Source organism: Homo sapiens, chromosome 12, assembly GCF_000001405.40.
Source record: "Homo sapiens chromosome 12, GRCh38.p14 Primary Assembly".
Taxonomy (NCBI): Eukaryota; Metazoa; Chordata; class Mammalia; order Primates; family Hominidae; genus Homo; species Homo sapiens.
Window position 1 is genome coordinate 71,454,604 of NC_000012.12, and position 27,696 is coordinate 71,482,299.

The window sequence follows — 27,696 nt, forward strand, 5'->3', positions numbered from 1 at the left end:
GAACTCAAAGGAGAGGTGAAGTTCAAGTCAGGGAGAAGAGTAAGTCAAGAGGACTACCTGCCAAGCATAGCACAGAGCTTGGTTACTGGCTCCACTGTGGAGCTGGCTCACCCCATGGGTAGAGTACAATCCTTCGAGATCCACAAGGCACACACACACGTGCATAGACACAAACACACACACACACACACACACACAAACCCCACGGCCACATCTCTGCATATACACAAAAGAACAAGAAAAAAAAAACACTCATTGTGGAAATACCCTCAAAATCTCAAAATATATACCTAACCTATAGGATAAAGCAACCGGAATACTCCTGGGAACTGGGAAATGATTATCACTACGGTGCAGGGGAAAAAAAGCAAACAAAAAACAAAACCAAAAAAATGCAGGAGACTAGTACACTAGATTAGAAGTCCAGGTCTGTAGTTCTTAAACTTGCCAACACATTAGTTCCAACTGGGAGCTAATTTAACTATCTTAAAGTCCAGATCCCACATCAAACCAACTAAATCACAATTTCTGAGGGAAGGAGCTAGGCATCAGAATGTATTTAAACTCCCCAAGGCAAATTCAATATGCGACCGAGTTTGAGAACCACTGATCTGGGCCCAGCTACCCCACTAATCAGCCACAGAATCTCTGGCAAGATGCATATCCTCCCTGCCTCAATTTTTGTATCTGTAAAATAAGAGAGGTAAATACATGTTCTGAAGTCTCTCCTAATTCAGTCATTCTAGGAGTCTACCAGCTTGACATTGTGTGTATTGCAATAGGGCAGGTGTAGCAGGATTGTAGAAAATGGGAGGTTTCCACACACCCACACCCACTCCCATTTTGGGCAACAAATCTGGAAACATTGTTTACTCTCCTGCCTTGAGCATTATTTAAAATGACTTTATTTGTTTTACAGTTTACAGAGCCTCTGTAGGTAGCCTCAGGAGCCCATTCATTTCATTAACATTAAATCAACAAGCAGACCTTCTTTCTGCCTCTCTCTAGCAGGATTAATGGATTTTGGCATGATTTGTGCACCTAGCAGCAAAACCTCGTGCTGAGAAAGCTAGCAGGCTTGACTAATTCCCAGTAGTGCTAACTTCATAAACTTACTTTAAGCTTTTAACTTTGACTAAAGATTAAAGGTAATGACTGCACGCTGTTGTTTGGATGTATGATACTCAATATACACAAAAAATTATACAAAAATGACAAACTATTTGATAAATTAACATTGTATATATATGTGCATATAGATATGGTTTTTATGCTTATGAAAATACTCAATTCTGTATATATAAAAAGATCCTCTAAAACACTGAGAGATTTATGTAATAAATAACCATAGTAAATAGAGTATTGACAAATGTATTTGTAAATTGTAAGCATAAAAATTTATGGTTAGAATATTATAATATACTGATAGAAGACCCAGTTTCACATGATGGAACATTGACTATGAGAAATTTTCTAAGAAGCAAAATTTTTCTACTCTATGAGACCAGTTATCACCTATAAAGCATTCCCACACATGACTATGCTTATACTTTTTTATTCCAGTCTTACATTAAATTCAAATTTAGATAAGTCCACATAAAGACGGGGGAGAAAAGGAAAAAATACAATATTTCCAGCCCATCTGACAAGACTACATAAAAAGCTTTTGATCAAAGGGTCTTAAGTACACTTTACTGGTGTGACAAACAACATTTTTATCCCTTTATTAGATTTATTTTTCTTCTGAAAACTGCAGTGACCAGGGTATGGTTTGTGAAAGAAAGCTGGCAGGGTTGTGTTCTTTGATTCCTAATTAACACCTTCAGTCTCAAAAGAGAACCAACAGAAATACCATAAAATGTTGCAGCTGCATTGTGATTCCGCTTGGTTGGTTTGTTAAAAGTCGGCTGGGCATTGGCAGCTGCAATAAAGGGAAAGCTCAATGGATGTTTTGTATTGTGCCCACTGAAGTGAAAGAAGGCAACCATTTTATTTTTCAAATGGGCAGCTGCAGAGGGAGGTTTAAATGGAGCTAAATGCAAGATTTACTGTTAATTTATAGTAAATAAATAAAGAAAATAAAACCTAGCTTTCCAGTTTTTACAGTCACAGAACAGACATTTTAGCTAGAAATTATTAAGGACAATCATTTCAGAGCTTTTTAGCAACCAATTTGGGGAATTCGGCAACAAGGAATAGCATTCATTTAAAATCAAAATAGGCTTTTTGAAAGAGCTGAGCAAGCCAAAGCTTTAGAAGCTGACATTTCCACTTTGAAAGGTAAAGATATATCTTTCCTGTCTTGGGTAACGTAACTCCCTCGTCCCACTTTATTGAAACCCTAAAATTTGTTCAGATGGAAACTGAATAAGATTCCATACACCCCCATCTCACTTTTTTTTTAAGACCATGGAGTTGAATTTTGCCTATGGTAGGGGAATAAAGGAGGCATTTAACTTTGGTCAGATAAATCTCACTCACATTCAAAAATGCAATTAAGGAAATATGTAAATCTAGATGTTTCATCAAATGCTAGCTAAGGGGTTACTAGTTCTTTTCGAACACAATGACTGAACTAAAGAACTTTAGTGTCTGTGTAAGAACCATTGTCCAAGCCGCAGTCCCTGTTGGAAACAGAGTCCGGCCTGGCCGTGGGAAATACCTACATATTTGACACAGACCCTATTTCTGAGAGAAAGGGGATGGAAGAGAAAGTATGGAGATTTTACTGTTGCATTCTAATCAACCATGATCTGCCTAATTTGCTTTGATCAGGAAGATAAACTAATTTTTCTATGGGCTGGTTAAAAGTAATTAGCAAGCCAAAGCTTTCATGTTATTTCAAAAGAGCTAAAGTAAAGGGGATCAGAAATTGTAATGCTGGGAGCTAAATACATCTTTTCTGCTCATCTAAGAGCACTGTTCATTCAAAATAGGATACTGACACAGAAGAGAAACTCCAGCTAAAGATAGTTTCATGGGCTGCATAACCATTGTAAATCCAGGGATTTACATAGTTAGTGCTATGTAACTAAACAAGGTTACCAAAGGTGACTTATAATTGGTGTCTGTGTCATATAGTCCTGCTGTTTTGTGGGAACACCTTTACCTTCATGTAAAAAGGTGCAATTATTGTCTGGTCCTAAAGCATTGTTGGTTTTTCCCTGAAGCTCAGCCTTTCACATGTGAGTTGTTGGAGGCAGTTGCCTGTGTTTATTTGAACCCCAAGCTGTTGCTGCTTCTCTCATGTACACAGACCCAGCCAGCTTGGGATCCTACAATCCTGGACATACTAGAATGGGATCTAAGATCAAATTGAAAAAGTTAGTCAGGAACCTGACGCCACAGATGCTTCAATTTCACAGCCTGGTTCATGGTTTTTGTGCCAGTTACCAACTTCAGTAGTGCCGCCTCCTCCTTTCTTGTTTTTTTCTAAGCTCCCAAACACATGTAGTCATTAGATGAGAAGGAAAGATTTTGAAATACGGGATTTTGTTTCTTAAAAAAAATCTACTATTTAGTGTTACTTTTTTTCTTGTTGATATGACCTTTGCATTACTTCCCTTTTCAAACTGTTGTAGTAGATATGGTATCTGTAACCCTACTGTAAACTTAATTGCTTTTTTGGCTACTAATCTCCTGCGCTAGGGTTCTTAGATACCAAAGTGTGTATTTCAAGTCAGATTTAATGTTCCTTATAAAATGAGAAGATCTTTTAAAAGGGCCTCTGTGAGGTTGGAGCTCAACAAGCTTCAAGGTTATAGAGAAATTATTACTGTGGAATAATTATAAAGGAAACTAGAGAATATTTAAAGACCAATATTCTACCTTACATTTAAAATTACTTAAAATAATTGGATTTAGTTTTCTGATTTTTTTCTACTATTTTTTGGAAAGCTGCAGTCAACAAACATTTTAACTCTTCTTTCATTGTTTTAAAAGTCCTTAAGCAGTGTTTTAAAATGTAAGTCTGTTTGTACTTTCTTGCTAGTTTTTATAAAGTCTAGAAAAGATGGCGACTATTATGAGTAAGAAGTCAATCTATGACTGTGGAAGAGATCTTTCATAGTGTCAGCTTCGTGTTCCTGCAAATTTATTCGTTCATTTATCCGTTTATTCACACAATTAATATTTTTATCAACTGCCCACCTTGTGCTAGATGCTGAGGGTATAGCAGTTTACAAGATGTACACAATCCTTGCCTTTGTATGGCAGCAGAAATTTTTTAAATGCATATTTAAATGTAAATTATTAAGATGAAAGAGCTCTGATGGCAAACAGGAGTGCACTAAAAGAGAACCTGCCTGGTCTTGGTGGTCAGGGAACACTTCCCTTGGGAAACGACATTTAATCTGAAACTTGGAGGATGAGTTAGAGTTAGCCAAGGAAAGGAGAGGGAAGGAGTATTCTAGACTTTCCCATTTAAGTCTGAGCAGTGGCTGAATTCTCCTCTGTGCTTTCTGTACTTCTAATATATAGCATGACCTAGTAAGACCAGTATGTACCTTATACAAAAGGAGGCCTTAATGCAGTCCCTAAGAGGCAGAATCCTCCTGTGAGATCTGACCTATAATTACTAGGAGCCCTCTCATAAGGCAAAGCACTCTGCAGTTGTGTTCTGATTTCATAAATGTACCTTCTGCCTTACTGGCTTATAGTTTTACTGGGCATATCTCATTCATTTTCAATTCTTCTGAAATACAATTATGAATTCATTTATTTGCACCCCTAATAATAACATAAGGAGAAGGTAGCAATCATGGCATATGAGCCTGTACATTTTTCCTGCATTTGATGGGGAAGCCAGAAGCTGAGGGCCAGGTACATACGCTGAGCCCCACTCCCCACTGGAAGTAGAAAGCATGAGTCCCCTCTATTCTTCTCACATTCATGGTAAACTCTCCCAATTTTTGTTCACAAGGGGGAGCTGGCCAAACCTAAGTTTATTAATTCAACTATTCAACTGATATTTGTTCCTCACCTACTATCAGGCCAGTTCTAGACCAGGCCCAAGAAACAAAGATGAATTAAGGAACAGCCTCTGCTCCCTGGAGTTCACAATTTAATTGAGGAAGACAGGCAAGAAAACAAAAGTAGTGTAGTGGTTAAGAGCCTTCCTCTGGGATAATCACTTGGTATTGGAATCCTGGTACTGCCCCTTATTTGCTTGGACAAATTATTTGTACTGATAATTTAGAATAATTATTACTCCTATAAATTATAATAATTTATAATTATTGATATTGTTATAAATAATTATTACTCCTCTGGGGCTTCCATTTTTCTCATCTGTGAAATAGAATGTTTGGGCTAGAGCTGTTTCCAAGGTTTATCTGCAGACCACTTAGAACAGTGCCTGGCAGGTAGTAAAGACAAGGTAAGGTTAGCTATTATTACTAACAGAGGTTGGTATAATGTCCTGTGGAAGCAGAGAGAAGAAAATCATTCACTCCACTTGGAGTTGAAAATACTTCACAGAGAGGGTCATGTTTGCCCTGCTCTTGAAGAATGGGGAGGTTTTCACCTAGAGGGATGGGGCATACCCTCTAGAAGTCAGGACCCACATCAGTGCAGGCACAAGAGTGTGAAAGCATGTGGAAGGAAATTTTCAGATTGGCTGAACATGAGACAACAGTGACTGGAAATGAAAAAATGATGAAGAGAGAAATACAAAAAGGATCCTAAGAGTCACAAGGACTCATGGGAAGACACTAAAAGTTTAGTGTGGAGAAGTTGGCTAAACTTACTTCTCAGTTCCAATCATGACTTCTGCCTGCCAAATAAAGCGTAAGGTCCTTCTTCAAGTTTTCCTTCACAGCACATCAAGCTTCTGAGTCTCAGGGTTTTCATCTCACTCTGTTATTGATTAACTATATGACTGGCAGGTACCATTTAACTCTTACTGATCTGTTTTGTCTTCTACTATCTGTTATATCTTCTGCTAAATGATAATTCATCCGGTGCTCATTTTAGTGAATGCATCCCCCTGGCTTAACTTTATATACAGTAAGGGATGCTTAACTTGCAAATTAATGCCATGTTTAACCCACAGACATTACGTGTCCCTGAACCGGTGGAAAAGTGGAGGCAGAATCAGACTGGGATTCCTCTATAACTTGTTTATTTTCTCAGGAATCATCCAGCCCCATTCTTCCTCCTCTCCTACATAGTGACTTCCATTTCATCCCGCCTTACACAGCGCCTCCATTTCCTATTGTAAAACAGGGCTAGTTTTCTTACTTCTCCACATCTTTGCTCAACCCTTCCCCTGCAAAATAAGTGAATGAATGAATGGTTTCTGCATAGCACTCTCAACTAGGCTGTTATCTTGAAACTCAATCCCACCCACTTCAAAAGGCTTTCAGAAATCATTGCTCTGCTGAGAACAGAACCATGACAGATCTTCCCAGGAATTGTTCCTTATCCACTCTCCTTGCCACAGCATCCACATTTGGAGGTTATAATCTGTCTTGCACCTTTTCTGGTAGTAAGCACAGCAGCCAGAAACCACAGTTTAGCCTTATCTAGATCTCCAGGCTTCTGATGACCTATGTGTCTGCCCTGCCCCCTTCCCTCATATCTCAGAAGGGACATGTTTGCCCCTTTTCCAAAGTTATCATGCATCTATGATCTGTCATTCCATTCCCTTTTATCTCCTGGGAATGATAGTTTATTCATTCAGCAAATTTTTATTGAGAATGAGTTATGTAAGGTGCTATGGAGGACACAAATGAAAATATCAGTTAATTATCTTCCAGACATATGAAATCTAAAATGTCAGTATCATTCCATACTGTATTAAATTTGCTAACTTGGCATTTTACTTGATAAAGGGATTTCCATTTGAAGATATCACCATAGCATCCTCTATTTCCGCCTTTTAGTCTATTTATTATCATGCTCCCCACTAGCATAGCACTTGGCACATCTAAGTGTTATATACATATTTTCTATTGGGGGAATGATAGATTCCTCACTTCAAAAAGCAAAGGGTCTTTCCTGTGCTCTTCAATTTCCTCAAACTGTTTCCATTCTGTCTCCTTCCCCTCTCTACCAACATTCTTGAAAGAGAAGGCCATATTCATTGCCACCATTTCATTACCACCCAGTCACTCTTTCATCCCTTTTGAAATCAGCCTGCCACCTCCACCATTCAACTTAAATCACTCTGTCTTAAATGCCACCAATGACCTCCTACTGTCTAGTCCAAATGGCCTTTTCTTAGTCCTCAATCATCCTGGACCACTCTCCAGCATTGCACTCTGATGACCATCCCCTTGTCCCATCTGAAGTGGGGTAAATACTCCAAGAATCCAGCCTTAAATGCACAGGTTTTGTAATCTGCCGGGTGTGAATTTGGCCATGGTCCAAAGCTCAGTTTCATTATCTGTAAAATGGGTTAATAGACCCTGTTATCTGTGCTTGACACATGCCTGCTCAGCCTCCTAATGGGTCTCCTTATCTCCCTCTCATCTCATGCATGTGCCACTGCCAAATCAGTCTTTCTAAATTGAATGCTGATCGTGTCACTTCCCTGCTCAGAAAGCTCCAGCAACACCCAGGGATGGGAAAACTCCAAATCCATAGTCCTGCATGCAAGATCTCTACAATCACCTCAAGTCATACCCAGCTGTGCTCCAACAGCAGGACTCATGCAGGACTGAGAGTCTGGAGAGAGTTTCCTCTGTCAACTAGGCCTCTGAATGGCTGTCATTTAATATCTCCTTATCTAGTGTCTTCATTAGCAGATTGAAATCCTAGGTTAATTTAAAGCTAAAGCTCCTCCTAGCTATAAAATGCTAAGATTTGACCTTTCTGGCCTTATTTTTCCATATTCTCTTTTCAACTTTTCTATTCAGGAAAATTGGACTGGGATCCATTTTTCTAACCTATTTCTGCTTTCCTCCCCCTGTCTTTGCTCTCACCAGTTTCTCCCATGGGCAAAAGTCCTTCCTGCAAGCTCTTCTCAACTACAGTCTCCTCATCAATGGCTGGGAGTAATCGTCTCACCCAATAGATGCCAGTCATCTTTTATGGTGCATTCATGCCAGGCAAGTCTCATTTGGACCACTGCAATTTTCTCCTCACTCTTCCCATTGCCCCTCTGGTGGAAGCTTTGCACTCTGACTAATTCCGTCTTCCTCTTGCCAGTTTTGGCTGTGCCACACCTCACTTAAGGACCCATCATGCTGCAACATTGTCCAGTGCTTCAAATCCAACATCTTTATCCAAGACTTCAAAACACTTCATTAATACATCCCAGATAATCTTAGTTCTCTCATCTGCCCACTGCTCTTCAGGGAAAACTCACACCAAAGTAGTCATATCATATATGGATAGGGCATTAAGGGGCTTGAATTTTTAATATTAATTGTGTCGCTAACTAGACAAATGCCCTTACAAGTTAGTATAAAAACTTCAACTGTGATTGTATTTTATTAAAAATTTAGTATTATGGTTTTAGCACATTTAGTCACTTTACAATAGATAAAGTAAAATTATATAAATATTTGAGTGCATTTATACTCCAGCCCAGTAGTTTATAACTGGGGCAAAAATCAGAATCATTCATGGGGATTTTTTTAAAGTTCACATTCCTGGGTACCACCTCCAGAAAAACCTGAGCATCTGTTCTTGAACATTGACACAGGTGATTAAGACTGCTGGCTTGCACAACTCAAGGAATTGTGCAGTGCACAGCTCCACAGCTTTAGGAAGTGGCCCAAAGTAGACTCAGACTGTATATTCTCTTAGCTTCAGTCGAGAGGTTTACTTAGGCTTTAGCATTAGAAACATTTGGGTTGAGATCTTAGCTTTGTCACTTACTTGATGTGTGACTTTGAACAAATTACTAAGTCTCTCTAAACCTCAGTGTCCACATCTATAAAATGTGACAGTGATAGTACTCACTGTAGAGGATAAAATGAGACTGGTTCTACAAAGTACTCAGTACAGCACCTAGCAGATAGCAAACAATCAGTAAATGTCAACCATTATGATGACAATGATGATTATTTAAGTCCGTCTCTCCAAATCCCTACTTGACTAAGTAGCTTTGAGACCAATTTACGATAGTACTACAGAAAATATTAACACAAGGTAATTGATCATTCTACTGTATACTTGTAAAGATTAGTATCTCTGCAACAAACAGCTCTCTTGCCTTTATTATTTATCTACAGGTTATTGGCATATATTTTAGCATATATAAATTATAATATACATATATGTATACATATATATGTGTGTGTATATATATAATCTCTAGTACATCAAATGACCATGTAAAAGGTCTTGATCCTGCCTGACTTTTAAACCAAAAGTTTAAAAGGAGGCCTTTGTCAGTATAGGCAAAAAAAGCACTGTCTCAGAGGTTAGCTGATAACTCTTTGAAGTGCTAATTTTTGGCCAAAGGAATATAGAAACCTCTGCAAAAATATGTTATTGTAGGGTGGACTTAAATGTCAGTTTATAAAAGATTCTTTAAATCATGTATGTTGTATTCCTTCACAATACTTGCAAATGTAATTAAATAATCACTTGTATTATTATCAGCTTAATGTTTATTTCCATGAAAAATATCTCAAAGGAAGACTCTAAAGAGACAGGAACTATATCTGTCTTGTTCACTGTTGAATCCCTTGAGCTTAATACCATGCCTACCACATAATAAGTGCCAAGTAATATTTGTTGAATAAGAGGAAGAAAGGAGGATAGGAGGGAGGGAGGGATGAATCTTTGTATGTCCACATATTTATCACAGACCCAGGAGCCGTGCCCAGAATCAACTTTGAACTACAAGTGAAATATACAATCTGGTTAGGGGTATCTGACATATTCAGAAGTACATGACATGAAATACACTTAATAAGTGTTTTAGGAAAATGATGACTTTCCGGAAGGGTTAAACACAAATAGAGGAGACACAGGGCCACAGGCTGATCTAGAAGATGGATTGAAAGAGACAAAAAAATGAACTGAGTTAAGAAAAATCAGAATTATATCACATAAGCTACAATTATGGCCCTAGAGTAGACAGAAGGGAAATAATCGTAAGTCTATATTAAGGAGAGTTTCAACCGGCTACAGGATACATCTGTTGTTTGAATAAATACATTCAATATCATAATTGCTTTGATTTTAATAGTGATATTTAATTTAAAATGTCTTTGAACATTCAAAGTTGGCATGAGATTTTTATGTTCAGAAAACAGGGGTGTAGGTTAAAAAAGTTTTCCTGGGAAGCAGACTTGGGGTTAGAGATTTGAGTAAAGAATATCCTGGGGTGTACCTTCAGGATCAAACCTGCAGAGAGATGGAGGACTGAAGAAGGCAGGATTGGGCAGAGGGAGAAGTTAAACTGAGATGAGGTCATAAGATCCTCTGCTAATACTACAGGGAGCTCTGGCATGGAGTGGCCCTTCAGAAATGTCCCTTCATACCTTCAGACCGACCAGTTATTGGAGGCAGGCGTCCCCCTCCCTAGTGCCTCCTCGAAGTATGACCTTGGGCAAGGAGCCTCTCTTTAATCGTTCACCAAGGCAGCTCAGCTGGAGCTCCAGCTGCACGAATGAGAGATTCAATCCTGAAGCAGAGGTAACTGGGCAGCATACCCTAACATCTCCTAAAACTGGTCTGAAATGATTTAGTTGGGAAGAAGGAGTAAACAGGTAAGACTGCCATTGTTCTTAGGAGAATCATGAAAGTGGACTCACCACAGTAAGGCGGTGCTACTCTGAAAATGGCCAACCCTCAGTAGGATCCTTAAATTATTTCGACTTTTTCTTTTCCATTTTCCTGCTCTTCTGTTTCAAAGGCTCCTTTAACTTTCTAGTTAGTTCCTTTCCTGTCTTTATCATATGTGCGTGCATTTCTACTGTTCCAAAGAATGTTTATGATCCTTGGCTTTTCTCCCCCTGTGCTTTAAACAAAACTCAGTTTCCTAGTACTAGGATTCCTCAGGGAATTACAGAACAGCCTCAGAATACTACCATGCTAGCTCAACTCCATCTCCCATCCAGCTGCATAAACTTCCTTTCTTCCTGCATTTATAGTTTCCATGTCCATCAGGTAAACGCCTGCTATTTAACACCTGGCAGAAGGATGTTTTTCAGTTTCCTCTATTAGAAACTTACCTCAGGATTCCTTTTTCAGGTAACATAAACTGATTAACTGGAAATGAGAAAATAAGCAGTGTCTGGTAATCCAAAGCACAGAAATTATCAAATGGCCACTTCCTAACCACTCAGAAAAGTCTAAATAAAACTAATTCAGTGAAACAACAGCAGCCACTGTATTTTGTTGGTCTTCAACTGTGAACTCTTAAAAGGCAGCAACTGCACCTCTTCCATACTCCTTTCCATTGCACAATGTCTAGCACACTGTTAGAACTCAATAGAATGAGATAATTTTTTATCCAGCACTGCACCTGGGAAGACTGGCAAAGTGCCACCAACTAGATGGCTGGTGTACTTCAGTGATTCCTGTGCCTTTATGTAGACATAGAAAGTCATGAATTACACCATCTAGACAAACTGCTATGAGGATTATCCATTGAATAGGACAGTTTTTTTGTTTGTATTTTTAGAATAAGGACAAAATATACTAGCATAATCCTTCTTTCTGAATCAAGAGTCAAATCGAAGGAGCAAGGAGGATTATGAAATTATGTTACTTCTGTATCATCAACTCTGAAAGGGCTTAACATTCCATCATTTCATTTTAGCAAAGATTTTATTTTATTAAATGGAGTTCAAACATTTAAGGTGCTCTTACTAAACTGATAGTTCTTTAGGATTCCTTGCTTGGTAAAATATTAGATGGTGTAAAGTTGTGAGAATATCATGTAAAGAAGTCACCTTGCATTGACTTCTTTAAATTGAATGGGAAGAAGATGAAGAAATGAAAAGTAAATGTAGCAGATTAAATAAAAAATTCACTTATTTGGGGGATAAAAAGAATGTTCTGCATCCATGATTCTTCACGATCATACTATTTTGCAGTTAGATTCCCTGCCAAAAAAAATTGATCCTATAATACATGTGATAATAATTTCCTCTGTCTTCCATGTTTTTTTTTTTATGAGTAGTAGGTAAGGAAGAGCTGGAAAATTATAAAGAATTGAAAACTTAAAAGGTTTTCTTTGGTATCTAAGGTCTGGTTGTCATTTTCAGGTTTTCTAAATTTAAGAAAACTGAGGAGATAGGAACATAACGATGGCTCTTTTGGGAGCTATTGATTTTGTGAAATTGGTAACACGTCCTCCTTGGAAATAGGCAGAATGCATCTGACTTTAAAGTTGTAGTGAATCTTCAGTGATAATGAGAGTTACCAAGAAGTTATGTAAGGTAGGGTATGAATGCTTGGAGGATGAGGAAGGCAAAAAGGCAAATAATGTGGACCAGGTTTTTTTTTTTTAACAAAAATAGTCATCATTTATAATCTGCCAGACTTCCCATATGTTAACTTATTTAATCCTGACATCAAACCGGTGGGGTTTGTTTCTATTCCATAAATAAAGAAATCAGAGAAGTTAAGGAATTTTCCAAGGTCACAAAACCAATAAATAGTGGAGTGAGGGGATTTGAAAAGAGATCTGTCTGATTCCAAAGCCTGTACTTTCCCCAGGACTCTAAGAGAATTTCAGCTATGATGGCCATTCTAATTTGCTTCCAGAAGGCTGGAGTTTTAAAGTTACTTTAAAAGGTAGTGAAGATAATTGTACATTTGAGAGAGACTTGTTCAAGATTTCACTGATGAGAAAGTGCCTGTGGAGGGGATTTGGCCTGAAGAACTGGGGACATAATAAATACCAGGAACCCAGTACTGAAGATAGTAGGCACTCCCTCTTTGCTGTCATTTTTAACATCTGCATCAGGAATGGCTGGTTGTCATTTCCTCTGTTTCTGATTATCACTATCTTTCTTGGGGAAATCAAAGTTGTTTCATTTGTCTGTTTGTTTGTTTGCCAGGTAGTGTTTGCTAAGGAAAGTATTAGCTACATGTAACTTCAGTAATAATTAGTAATATCAAAAAATATCTTAGAATGATGGTAGAGATCAAAACTAATATTTTCAGTGGACAAACAATGCCGATTTGGCAGGTTGCATGCAACAGTAATTTTAGTTGCCATAATTCTGAATATTCTGCCTAGAAAGTACTTGTTCTTTTCATGTCATTTCCATAGGAATGCTGTAAGTTCTAGAGATGGGTGTATTTTAACCTCATGAAAATCCAAAGTATTTTATTGTTTAAACTTGCAAAGCACATTCCATCTAAGAATTTCACAGAGCCTTATCTGATTCCTTATTAATTCTCACAAAGTTGAGAGAAATGCTTTTAAAAATATTACATAGGCTAAGGAACATTATGTCATATTAATGTGGGATAAGCAGATTGATTTTCACTAAACATTGTGAGAGTTTAAAAGGGTAATTGAATATTTTTAATGCTTTAGCCTTCATCTATTTAATTTGTTTCTATATTTATTTTGATGGCCAGAAGCTGTGCTGTAAATGACAAACTGGTAGGCAAGACAGTACCCAGACAGGTACATGTAGTTTTAGCAAGACTACTGGGACATTTGGAAAAATAAAATAAAATGTTGTCTGTTTTTAAAGGCAACAGTTGTAAAGTTGTCAGTCTGAGTCTCCTATTTGCACTGATTGCACTTGATAAAAAATAACAAGCTGTGACAAATAGAAGGGCAAAGTTTCAGTAATTCACTAAAGAATGTCTCTACCCAAAGCTTTGTGGCAAAAAAATGTCTTGTTTGAGGCACAATTGCAGAGTTGAAATAACAGCCCATGAATACCCTGGAGAAATGACTATGTACCCAAGGTGAATGCTAAAGCCTTCCCTCTTGAATGAGCCTTTTAATCAAGGCATTATCTAGGCTCTGAAAAAGTCTTCAGTGGTCCTACCTAAAGATTAATGGGAAAAGCCGAAACTCTGAGTTGGCCTATTTGCAGAAACAATTTTAAAGATTTACTGATGGTTGACAAATGCCATTTAAGCTTTCAAAGCCAGCCATATGCTTTTGAAAAGGATTTAAAGGAAATCCTCCCACTACAGAAGACAACTTTGAAGGATCTCTGTGGTAGCCTCTTTTTTTTTTTTTTTTTTTTTTTTGGTGCGTGGACATGTTGAGTTTTCTCTTTCCTTCCTTTTTTCCCACATCTTTGCTAAATTCCTAAAACGTGGGGCTCAGAAAAGGAATAATATATTTCTGTATTCAGAAGGTACTCATAATTTTGTTTGTCAGTGAGAATTAGATAAACTCTTGCCAAACAATTGTGTATGTTGAGAATATCTTTCTCAATTACCTTTGTATTAATATAAGAGCTGTAAATAGCCCCCCAAATATTAAAAGTGTAATGTCACATTGTTCGAAAAGAGAATTGATGCTTTCTAAATGTGTTTAGATTTTGTTCAATTTTTGTATTTTCGTTTAGTTTAAATTTATGTTTAGTTTTAATGTGGAGATTATTTTCTACTTCCAGAATGACTATGGGCACCATTTTCCTTCTACATTCATTCTCTGAGCATTTTGCCATTGGTTTTTGGCCAGGTGAATTTATTCAGCCTGAAAAGTAACCGACTTCCAAAGAGATTATATTTAAAACATTTCTTCATAGGGTAAAAATCTGAATGCAATTTTAAAATATTACCCAGTCATAATGTGGATTAGAATTGCCTCACTTCACACTTTGTCATTGCCTTCTTCTACTAACTTCAGTGGAATCTCGAGGTGATTTCATAAACAGGGCAAACTCCTGGCGTCCTCTGGCCTGATCCTGGAGGCTGAGATGAGTCACTGTGTGCTGGGCGGGCCTGTCACTCCAATTGCCTGCCTCCGCGTGGGCGCTGGGAGTGGGAATCAGTGCGGTTCAGGAGCAGCACGCTCTGGCCTTGTTTGCCCATTTCCCTGGGCCGCTGACAGTGATCTGACAGAAAGCGACACTGACACAAAGAAGCCAAGAGGGGCAGGAGATGGGGGTGAGGTCAAAGCGGAGAAACTGAGAAAATCCAGTGAAGTGGAAGCTGAAAGGATAAACGCATGAAGGCTTAGAGCCGCTTCTCGGCCCACTTCAGTCGGCCACACCTCCCCCAAACCCTGGAAGAAATGCCCCCACTTAACTGCCTTGGTAACAATTAAAGGCCCAGTGCCATGAAGGAAGGAAGGGTTTTTACAGAAGTGCCTTAAATCCCACTGCCTCCCCGCCGCCCCACCCGCCAACACCTAGAAAGTCTTGTAGTGAGTTTCCTGCTCTTTCTTTTAAAAGCAGGAACCTAATGAAGGCTCACCTCTAGGCAGAGTACCATCGCACAACACACATTCCAGTGTGCAGGGCCCTTTCTTGTCCTCCCTTCTCACCTGGATTATTGAAGTGACCCGCTGTGGGCTGACTGTCCTCTAATTCATTCCCAGGCCACCACCAGGGAGACATTTCTACCTCTGCTAAAAAACCTTCAGTGCCTCCTGGGGGTATCCATACCACCAGCAGTATCCAAAGTGATCTTAGTTGATACTGGGTCATGAAATCTAAAACATCTTATCACCTAAAGGGAAAGTTGCTCCCTTTTCAATTTCCCTTCAGCCCTTCTGGCTTCATCAATGAGAAAGTCTTAGCCAGGGTTAGTTTGTCTTCCACACCTCTGTTGCTCTCACTAAACTCCCTTTTTATCAAAGGGAGAACAGGCTTCAGGCTCAGTTTGACTTGGCAGCAGCTAACTAGGAATATAACTAGAATTTATTAACATTGTTTGGTTTTCATTGTATGTACTTTAACAGTTTCCTTCCATGTATGACAGATGATACTGGTTTTCTATTTACAGGTAATGATGGATCTTTTCCACTTTTATTTAACTTCCCTAGGTAATTTGAGTCCAATAATATATATCCATAGGTCTATAGATATGTCTACATACACACATATATGTCTTTATGTATGTAGATGTGTGTATACACATACGTAACACAAATGTGTATAGAATCATATTTAAGTTACTGTCCTTATAGCAAAATAATGAGTTTGGGAAACACTAGAGTATGAGATAAAATCCAAACGCAGCCTATAAATCTTGCTATAATCTTACTCCCACCCCATCTCTAGGCAGGCTCAACTTTCTGCACTGCCTCATGGACACCTTACAACAAACCATCTCTGACAGAACATGTGCTGTCCCTGCACGTGAGGCCAAGATTGTCTTCCTCACTCTACTCTACCTAGATGATCCCTCTTCATCCCTAGATTAGGCACTAGGCCACCCCTCAATGGAGCTTTTCTGCCCCATCTTACCCATGTTCCCCTTGTCTGAAGTATGCTCCCCTCCAATGAGCTCCCGCAGCATCTTGGTTACATCTTTATTAGAGCACTTACCAAATTCATAACTATTTGTTTGTCTCCCCTCCCCATGAGGACAGGAATGTTGTTCAGATCCCTGACACACCTATCTGGTGTACAGTATTTGTTCAGTAAATGTTTAATGAATTAACAAATTCTTTTTATCAGGAAGGCAAATTATCAGAGCTACCTAATAATCAAAACTTTTTAATAATAATATAGTAAATGATTAATAAATAATGAAGTCAACCATAATGGGTAAGAATAAGGGCTCTATCAAAATGTGGAAATAACCCAAATGTCCACCAACTGATGAATGGATAAATACAGTGTGGTATATCTACACAATGGAAAATTATTCAGCAATTAAAAGAAATTAAGTACTGATACATGATACAATATGAATGAGCCTTGTGTGTGAGTCTGTTTGTACAAAATGTCCAGAATAGGCAAATCTATTCTGACAGAACTAGAGACAGAAGGCAGATTATGTTGCTTACAGCTGAGGAGTAGGAGGATGTTGGACTGGTTAGTGACTGCTAATGGACATGGGATTTCTGGGTGATGAAAATGTCTGAAGTTAGATTTTGGTAATGGTTGGAGAACTATGTGGATATACTAAAAATCACTGAATTGTAATACTTTAGGTGAGTTGTATGGTATATGAATTATAGCTCAATAAAGCTGTTTTGTTTTTTTTTTTTTAAGAGTGAGGGCTCTAAGAAAATTTGTTTTGAATCCTCCGCAACTTACCAGCTAGTGATCATGGGCAGGATATTTAGCTTCTCTGTGACTCAGTTTCCTTCCTATAAAACAGGAGTAATAACAGCCCCCACCACAAAGGATCATTATGGAGACTGAATAGGCCAAGCACAGTGCCTGTGACATAATAGCACTCAATAAATATTAGCTATCATTATTACTAAAAGAGTATGTAGTATATTCTGAATCATGAGGGAAAAAAACAACATATTCTAACATACTTGTAATAGTCTTTGTGTCTTAGTGACATGCCTTCAGAATGATAAAATAAACTTTGGGGACTCAGGGAAAAGGGTAGAAGGGCGGTGAGGGATAAAAGACGACACATTGGGTACAGTGTTCACTGCTTGGGTAATGGGTGCACCAAAATCTCAGAAATCATCACTAAAGAATTTATTCATGTAACCACACACCACCTGTTCCTCAAAAACCTAGTGAAATTTTTTTAAACATAGTGATGTGCCTGCAGCATATATAACATTCTTAGTTAATAAGAATACTTTTTACTTACTCATATACTAATTTTATATACCATGTACAATTCATGACAAAATGCATGCATATACATACATTATAATGCCATTTAAACCTTAGAATAGCCCTATGAGATAACTATTATTATCCCCATTTTATAAACAAGGAAACTGATGCAAAAGGTAACTTGCTCAAGTTTCCATGCCTCATACATGGCAGAACAGAAGCCGTCTGACCTCCAGGTCAGTGTTCTTTCCAGGACACCAGGCTCTCCCCGGAGCAAGTATGCCCACAGATACATACCCAGTAAACAGGGAAATCACTCCAAGGGAGAGCTGCCCCAATAGATATAATAGGTTTCACAAAGCTGTCCTTATTCAAACATATCTCCCACATCAAACAACCACAACATGTCCTCCTATCTTGTGTGAGATTTTACAAGAAGAAATATTCTTTTGAAATGGAAAATAGGCAAAGCCTTTGTTTCAAGAATGTTGTTAAACAAACATAACCTGAGAAAGGATAGGGCTGGGGGATCCATACCACAAGGGTGTGATCCTTGTCTCTCAACACTGGCATTGTAACACTATTAAGAATACTGGCTAAACAAGAGCTTCTAACATCTGACTTCCATCACTCTAGTCAGTAGCAAAATATGTGTTACACATGGCATATGAATTCCACAGCACACGTTGATTGTATAAAGCACATTCTATGATCAAAAAGGACAATGCAAACCTAATCCTAAGTGGATAGTAGAATTCACTTGGAATATCTGGGAGCAACCTTTATGGCTTTAGGTTAAATTCTCTCTCCCCAAGAGTGAGTATTCAATGAATAGAGTGATAGAAGCTTCAGTGCACATATACTATGCTATCAATAATTCATATATGAACATAATCGATTTTAGTATTTAATTATTGCTAAATCTCCACCCTCAAAGAGATTACAATCTAGTCTGAAAGATTTTAACGGTGGCCATGTCTTACAGGATCTTACATTCCCAGCACATCATGGATCTGGCACACAGAAGATTCTAACAATCAACATTCATAGAAATGTTGGTTGAGTGAATAAATAAGTGAATGAATTATGATTTGGGAGGAAATTGTGTAGTAGGTTTATAAATTATCATCTTTTCAACACTTAAAAAAATATTCATTATTAATTTGTTGAATGATGAATGGCAGGACTTTAAATGAATTAATGTGACAAGCTGAGTTTTCAGAAAGAAACTGAAAAATGAATGGCATTTTGGTTAATTTCCACTGCCCTGTCTGTTTTATTCATTTAAAAAAAATTTTAAGTCGGGGCATAATGGCTCATGCCTCTAATCCCAGCACTTCAGGAGGCTGAGGTGGGAGGATCCCTTGAACTCGGGAGTTCAAGACCAACCGGGGCAACATAGTGAGATCCTGTAACTACAAAATATTTTTATTAAATAAATAAATAAATATAAATATAAAAATTTAGAATTTGGTTTAAAAAGAGGGATAAATTTGCAGTGATAATTTAAGTCATCCTTAATTTTAAGAATATGATTATTCAATTTACCAGATTACTAGTGTTTTATTATTATATATAAAACAAATGAAATTACAGAACAATTATCTATATATCCTTAGATCCTGAAGTAATACACTCTGTATTCATTTGCAATCATTAAAAATTTAGAGTCAGTTTACCATCCTACCAAGTAGCTAAGTAACAACACCTCGCTTTCCCAGAGGTCAGTCTTCTTGCAACTTCAGCCTCTTAAAACAAATCCAAGAGTTGAAAAAGGATGCTGAGTGTCGAATATTACTGTACAAATCTCATGCACTAAAATCTCTTCAAAAATGAGCCCTGGGATCTCTTTCACATCCTATTTGTTTTCTTTTACATATAATCCAGATAAGCTTTCTTATTTGGCTTTTGAATGTACGTTGAATATATATTTCAATTCTATAAAAACTAAATACAAAAAAAAAAATCCCTTTCACTTTTCATTGATAACTGCAGGACTTATCAACTAATAACCCAAAAAACAGCAAAGGATAAACAATTCAGAAATTAGAACCAAAAAATAAAGCAAAGCTATCTATCACCATTTGGTGTGTTAACAAGGAATCCCACAGTTTTCACTCATTAGTTTCAAAAGTTGCTCCCGAGCAGGTACTGGTGTTTATAAGATGGTGACCATGAATGATAAGAAAAATTAAAATTCTTTTTAAGACAGTAAAGTATAGAATAAATTACTAAAATATTCCTATACCAATTTTTAACATTGAAACTGTCTTGGCACTTTAAAGGATAAGCTTCAGTTTAGGTGGGAGACCCACACCTACAGAAAAATCTATTTTAAAATCGACCCAGTAAGTGGGGAGAAGTTATTTTGGTATTTAAAGTTTATAAACGGATGGTTTAGTTCCCCAATCTTTTAAAATACTACCATTAGTAAATATATTACAAAGCAACATATGTTAATACTCTCTAGATTATGTCCTTGCCTGTATTCAATTTCACATGACAGTATGTGGAAAAATCAATTTACTTAATTTTAAGCTTGTAGGGCTTCTTTTAGATAATGTTCAAAACTATAAACAATGTAGCAACTGATCGTCTTCTAGAATGAGTCTGATAAAAAGTGAATTATGTAATTCTTGAACTTGGAAAAGGAGGAAAAATACATCATAGCATAGAGTTACTTTAAAGCTTTAATGTTGGCCAAGGGAGATTAAATTGCCTTTGGGGTGTACAGATGCAGAAGATTCCGTTGGTGTGCTTTTCAAAGCAAAGACAGATGATATTAGGAAATAAAGCATGAGGGCTTCTGCTTTAATCTGTCCACATTAATGTTTTGATCTGTGACTAATTGGAATTGCAAGTAGGGTTCAAGAAGATTCTCAGCCAATCTGAGGCTAGCAGACATGTAAGTCTCCCAAAAATGCATCTAGGAAGATTGCTTGACCACAAATGAAAGAACGTGTGAAGAATTGTTCTAATTTAAGCCTGTTAGTGCATCTAATTCAAAATTAATATGGAATAATGACACAAAAATGACAAAAAAAAGTTGGCTATCAAGAAAGAAGGAAAATAAACTAAAATATACTATACAATCTCCAAAATTAAAACACTGTTCCCTTTATACGTCTTTAATTTAAAACAAAAGAAAAAGAACTGCCACCCAAGAGATTTACTAAATCCAAAGATGATGTCATTTCCCTGCTTAAAGTCCTAGAGTGGCTCCCAGAGCCTCCAGGATAGTCTGAACTTCTCAACGTGACATATGAGGCCAGCTTGATCTGGCCTTGGCTGTTGATGCTTTTCAGGCCTCCTAATGGGTCGTGTTGCAACACAAGCACTTCCATTCAACTATGCCAATCTATTGTAGTTTCTGCAGAACAGCCTGCTCTCTTATGCTGCGACGCTCTTGTACATGCTGTTCTCCTACCAGAAATGCTTTTCCTTCTCTCACTCATCCCCCCCTTATCATAGCTGATATTTCTTTTCAAGACTCAGTTTAAGTGTCAGGGCCTCTTGGAACCCTAACAAAAGAAAGGTTGTGATTAACAGTTTAATATAAGTAAAAAGAAAATTCTCAGAGAGTTTAGTGGAAGAAGAGATTAATTCCTAATCAGCTAAGATCTAGGAGAGATTTTTATGGGAATATAGATTTTATATTAAATCTGAGAGGACAATGAAACTTTTACCATTTTTATCTTACTTAGAAAATGAAGATCTTTATTCTATACATCCTTTCCTCCTTGGACGAACCTTGAGAGTTAGCTTGGAGATTCTAACAGGATAGAAAAATCACTGATATGTTGGGGATTGACACGCAGGGTTCCTCTGTTAAGGAAGGTTGTCCTCTTTGAGCAGAAGGTTAAATGGGGGCTCACATATGAGGGAATATTAGGACACTATCCAGCCAGCCAGATTAATAGGTGGACAGTAAATTCACCCAAACCCACCAGTTCCAGTGGTTCGCTGGAACACCAACCACTTCGTCTGAATACCAACCTGACCTTACTATTCTTCATTTGATATTGAAAAAGGGCTACTGAAATCCCATCTGCTTCAAGAAGCTCTTCCTAACTAATGGAAAATGTATTGACAGTTTTGTTGACATGCAGTAGTTAAGGACATGTTCTTCATAGGCATACAAACTTCTAAGTGAGATCATTCTGAGTAAATTGCTTAACTTCTCCCCAATGTGTGTCTACTCTAGGGTTCAAGCCTGACTGAGGAATGATCCATCTACTTCTAGGAAGTATCTAAAAGGAACTGTGCCTAACTGGAGAAGTCTGGGTCAAGGGCAGTGGGATTTGCCATGGTGGTAGCATGGGTGACAGTGGTACCAGTGGAGCCCTGAATACTTTTTTGTCTCAGATATAAAACGCCAAAGTTAAGCATCTAAAATAGCTGACTGGTGGATCGTTGATGGCATCTTGACACATTACCACAGCCAAATCAGGGCAGGAGAAGAGGTAAACAGCAGACACCACACTATGGTCAAAAGAACTAGTTCTTGGCAGGGAGATGAGTCATCCCAGCCAAGGCTGGAACTTTCAGCATGATTTTGGGAAAGAAATCTGTTGGGAACTAAGTTCCTAAGTGTGACTACAAGCAAAGTTATGGAGAGAATATGTTGTGGCTATTTTTAATCAGGTTGGCATGGATTAGAAAAATAAAACGTTATACCTAAACAAGCAGATATTTGCATAACTGCTATGTGGTCCCAGCTTAAGAAAAATATAGCCGATTAAACAAATGTTTATCTCAAGTGACAGAAAAGGAACTTAAAAAGCATAAACCTACAAAGATAAAGAAAACAGGAAAGAAATTATAGTAGACAGGTACATTAACAAATTTGTGAAATGTCTTAAGAGAAAATGACATGGAATAAGGCAAGAAGCAAGCCAATTCCTGCCATAAAACCCTAAAAAGGGAAGGTCAGAGTACTGGCAAAAATAGGAAGATCCACTGAAAGTCTTAATAAGAAGCAGTTAAACACATCCCTTAGCTCACACAGCCAGGCAACTGTCTCCTCACCACCCGTTTTCTCACCACAAACAATAACCCTGGTAGAAGACTGGTGATTTACAATCTGAAGACAGTGACCCCTGAGACTCCACACTAAACGGTGCAAATGGATGCCTCTGGGAAATGGGAATCAGGAGTGGAAAGGGTGGGACACGGACCTAATGGCTTTTTTGTTTCTTCATTATAAGGTTTGTAGTTCTTTAAAAAAACATGAAAATGTATACATTTAATAATATAATATATATTATATGTGATAATGTAATATATATGAAATATACTATGTATTATATATGTGATAATAAAATATACATTGTACATATATATCATTTTAACCTAGAATAAAATTTTTAAAAAGTAAAATAAAAGAATAAAAAGCTTCATACTCATTAAACAGATTTAAAACTACACCCTTTTGTATGAATTGATAAAATCCTTATCTTACTGCTGATAATGTAGTCTACTAACTGCCTTGGAAATTTTTCTTTTTAATAATGGTCTCCTTTCATGACACTAACTTCCAGGGACATAGTAAGTAGCACTAACACAGCCACACAAGCTGTGCATGCCCCAACTCTAGGGCAGCTGGAGTTGGCCATGTGTCAACTAGTGGTAAATTTCCATGAGTGTTAGCTCTCCACTTCTTACTGTTTCACTTATAGTAATATTTGCAAACTCACTCTCATGGTGGATACAACTCCTTGCCTCTGAGGCTCCTTTAGCGTAATCATCAATATGCGCTTCTTGAGTTCCCACCCATACCTCAGTTACTTTAACAGGTTCATTATAAAGATATAAGCATGGGTCTTCTCCTTTTTGAGATATCCTCATTTTTTTTCTCTTGCATCTTTTCTTAGTTAATAATTGATTTTACATTGGATATAACTTACACTGACATTTTGAATTTCTGATTATATATGTAGTCAGACTTGTTCTAAAAAGACTTTAAATTTTATACTTATTTTTATATTTTCTTACACTTTGTAACTTATTAACCAATAACAGTGAATTATTATACCTTCAGTTTTTGAAAGTGCATCAGTGACTTATTGGCTCTTGAGAGGCTTGTCAGCATATAAATGAATGTTCTATGGCAGACGTTAAGGAAAGACAGATGACCAACTTTATGCTTTTGGAAGGCAAATAAATAAGCCATGTTATTGGGAGCTAAAATGAAGTCTTACATATTTCTCAAATTAATTCAGCATTTGGTCTTTTCACTGGTATCTGAGTTTTGAAAATCTCCCTTCTCTAATTGTTGACTCTGCTCCCTCTTCTGGAACCTTGGTTAAATTGAATGGGAAAACTGTTTACTTGAAATTGAATAATGTCTTTTCTGTGTTGGTCAATAAGTCCCAGATTGAAGTAAAGACAAACTTTAGCTAGAAAATTATTCCCATAGCATAATTTAAAAGTGCTAACTATGGCATGGGGAAATTTTTGTCTCTCATTTTTCCAATGCACATCAGTATGCATAGGATTATTTTAGTTTAAAGAAAGGGAATGTTTAAAATAAACACATAGGTCATCAAATACAATTCAGGGGCTATCTTGTAATATTTTATTCTTTTGGAGAATTACATTTCTGTTTTTACTCCTTTGTTTTGGGTTTAAAATGCTTGAAAGCATTGCAAAAATAACAAGAACTCGTTAATTATATTCTGGGCACTTCAAAGAAGCTCAGAATACACTTTAAAAGCATTACATTCACATTCTCCATATCACTAAGGTAAGAAAGTGAAGATTGTTCTATTTCACGAAGGACATTTTCACTTTAAGAATAAGTTTATGTGTCTGTGCAGGCTCACATACTATTCAATTGCGAATCAGAGTAGAATCTGTGTCCTCTCAATTTGATTTTAAAATACAATCATATTTCTACATCTTTTACATTCAACGGGAAATTAACTAAAAAATTAATACGTTTTATTGGCTTCCTTTTATTTTTTTCTATGAGTTGTTCATTAATGTCTCCTTGATAAATAGATAAGCATTTATAATCATTTTTAGAAGTGCATTTTAGCTAACTGTTTAAAGGAAACACAAGGAAGATACAGTAATCTTTAACATCCTTAACCTGCTTGCTGTACTATCCTCCCAAACCTACAAAAAACATGTTTGTTAAAAATAAGCCTCCTAGAATAAGAAAGGAAGGGAATAGTGCCAGAGGATGCAGCATTTATTCAGCTGGTCAATCAACTGGAGTATTTACTGTGTTTCAACAACGTGCCAAATGCTGTTAAAAGCTGGCGATTCAGCACCCCCTTGCCCTTATGGCATTCAAGAAAGTAAGTCAGTAAGTAATGAAAGATGTGACCACAAACTTTTCTAAGTGAAAAGAATGGAGAGGAGGGAGGCAGGGAGAGGCAGGAAGAAGAGCAAGGAAAGGACATATTCTTTGAGAGGACATATTCTATATTGGAAGATCAAGAGGACTTATCTGGGGGGGTGGGGAAAGATATTTAAGAATGAAGAGGAGCCAGCCATTGGAAGGGACGGTGGGGTGCAGATGAGCATTATGGGCAGAAGTTAATGTACAGAAAAATCCCTGAGAAAGGAAAGGGCTTGGGGTGTAGGAGGAACTTCACAGTGGTGGGTATAACAACCAAGGTAATGGAGGGATGGAGGGACCAGTGGCTCAGGATGAGGATGGAGAGTTAGGCACTGTTCAAGCATTCAGGGCCCTGTCAACCATGCTTAGGCATTTGCATTACATTTAAGAAAGCACAGGAATCCATTGGAGAATTTTAGGTGGTGCCAGGGAATTATCTATTTCTGTTTTGGAAATCTAAGTTTGGCTGCCATGTAGAACAATCTATAGAGCGGGCAGGAGTGGAAGCAGAAAGTGGCCAAACACTTAAGAATGAGGAAGGAGGCTGGGTGCCGTAGCTAATGCCTGTAATCCCAGCACTTTGGGAGACCAAGGCGGGCAGATCACTTGAGGTCAGGAGTTCGAGAACAGCCTGGCCAACATGACGAAACCCCGTCTCTACTAAAAATACAAAAATTACCCGGATGTGGTGGCTTGTGCTTGTAATCCCAGCTGCTCGGGAGGCTGAGGCAGACACGCTTGAACCTGGGAGGTGGAGATTGCAGTGAGCCAAGATCATGCCACTGCACTCCAGCCTAGATGACAGAATGAGACTCTGTCTCAAAAAAAAAAAAAAAAAAAGAGAATGAGGAACAAGTGGGATGAAGCAGGCAGGCCGGGAGGTGTGACTAGAGAGAGTTGGTGAACGCTTCCTCTGGACAGAACCTTGTACCAGACACTTGACCTGTAGTGTCTCAAGTCTGCACAACCCCAGCAAAGCCTGGGAGCAGAAGCCCATAGGACAAGCATTCTCCAGATCCCTTCTCTTGAAGAAAAATTTTACTGGAAATGTACTTCTTGTGTCAATCCGAAGGGGGAAACCTTAGGACCCATTGGGAGAATAAAAGGCAGTCTGGTTTGACTGGAATATAGACTCTATGGAAAGGTTTAGAGAGAAATAAGCCTAATCCAGTGGATTAGGACTGGACCATGGAGACTTCAACCAACAGCTGATGAGATCCTTTCAAGTATCAGATGCTGCACTAAGGGCATTTGCCTACGTTATCTCATTTAATCCTCACATGGTGGCATAAAATAAGTGTTACAGTACATTAGGGCGTTAAGGCCACAAAAGCATAAAAGTGATCAAGGTCTAACAACAATAGGGTGGCAAAACTGTCATCTGAGACCCTGTTCTCTTTCCTAAATCAGTAACTCATTTTATCTTTCCTCATACGATAGCTAGATAACAACATTTAGGCTCCATTCTTCAGATCATGGGCAACCAGCAACGGCTTTTTGAACCCATGAAATGGGATGGGATGACAGATAAAATTGACCTTTTTTCTTTTTCATTTATTATACTGTAAGTTCCAGGATACATGTGCAGAACGTGCAGGTTACGTAGGTATACATGTGCCATGGTGGTTTGCTGCACCTATCAAACCATCATATAGGTTTTAAGCCCCACATGCATTAGGTATTTGTCCTGATGATATCCCTCCCCTTACCCCCAACCCCCTGACAGGCCCCAGTGTGTGATGTTCCCCTCCCTGTGTCCATGTGTTCTCATTGTTCAATTCCCACTTATGAGTGAGAACATGCAGTGTTTGGTTTTCTGATGTTGTGATAGTTTGCTGAGAATGATGGCTTCTAGCTTCATCCATGTCCCTGCAAAAGACATGAACTCATTCTTTTTTATGGCTGCATAGTATTCCATAGTGTATATATGCCACATTTTCTTTATTCAGTCTATCATTGATGGGCATGTGGGTTGGTTCCAAGTCTTTGTTATTGTGAATAGTGCTGCATTAAACATATGTGTGCGTGTGTCTTTATAGTAGAATGATTTATACTCAGAGCCTTTGCATGTGTTTCAGGATATTCGATGAAATGTGGGTGGGGAAAGGAAGATTTCATCCTGTTGGCATGAAAGGGTCCCAGGGTCACACGATGTTAACTGCAAGATATTTCAGTTTATTGATTATTGCACAAGGTAGGGACAACAATGGGAGTTTCTGCCTGAGAGAAATGAAATAGACCTCATTATTTTAATTAAAACTTTTAGAAGATTTTTTTTTGAAATGTTGCCTGGGGGGTATTTTCTGTATAATTATTATGGAACCATTAGGTGCAGCCACAGCTCAGAATTATTTAACAGACATAACAGACACTCAATGACACAACACCAGAGTCACTTCCTAGATGCAGCGCATCACTTTAGCCTTTTGGTCTGCTTTTTATTTTTTCTTTTCATTGTCCAATTATAAAGTAATGAAATTATCTGCTAAAAGAGATTTATGGTATAAAAGGAAAGTGGGGAGGGAAGGTACTTCAGATTCCCTCTTTTGAAGGGAAAAAAAGTCATTAGAAGTTTACTTTTTCTTTCATCAAAAAGGCAAACCTAATAGTTTTCTGTGTGAAATTCATGTGTACCAGTCCAGTGATTCTCAACCAACTGTGATTTGATCTTAGGGGACATTTATTTGGCAATGTATGTATTAGTTTGCTGGGACTGCCATAACAAAGTACCACAGACTGGGTGGCTTAAACAACTAAAAT

At 37.8% G+C, this 27,696-nt stretch overlaps 1 protein-coding gene across 6 annotated transcripts in view, besides 1 other annotated feature; it reads left to right on the top strand.

Annotated features, from left to right (window-relative positions):
• LGR5 (leucine rich repeat containing G protein-coupled receptor 5) overlaps positions 1-27,696 on the top strand; it is a 147,182-nt gene that overhangs the window by 15,475 nt on the left and 104,011 nt on the right. The gene's annotated exons all lie outside the window — the stretch shown is intronic.
• Positions 18,132-18,332: a silencer, noted in NCBI's record as "peak1816 fragment used in MPRA reporter construct". NCBI's record gives its function as "represses an SCP1 promoter by STARR-seq MPRAs in K562 erythroleukemia cells {active_cell/tissue: K562}" and the evidence as "EXISTENCE:reporter gene assay evidence [ECO:0000049][PMID:32103011]".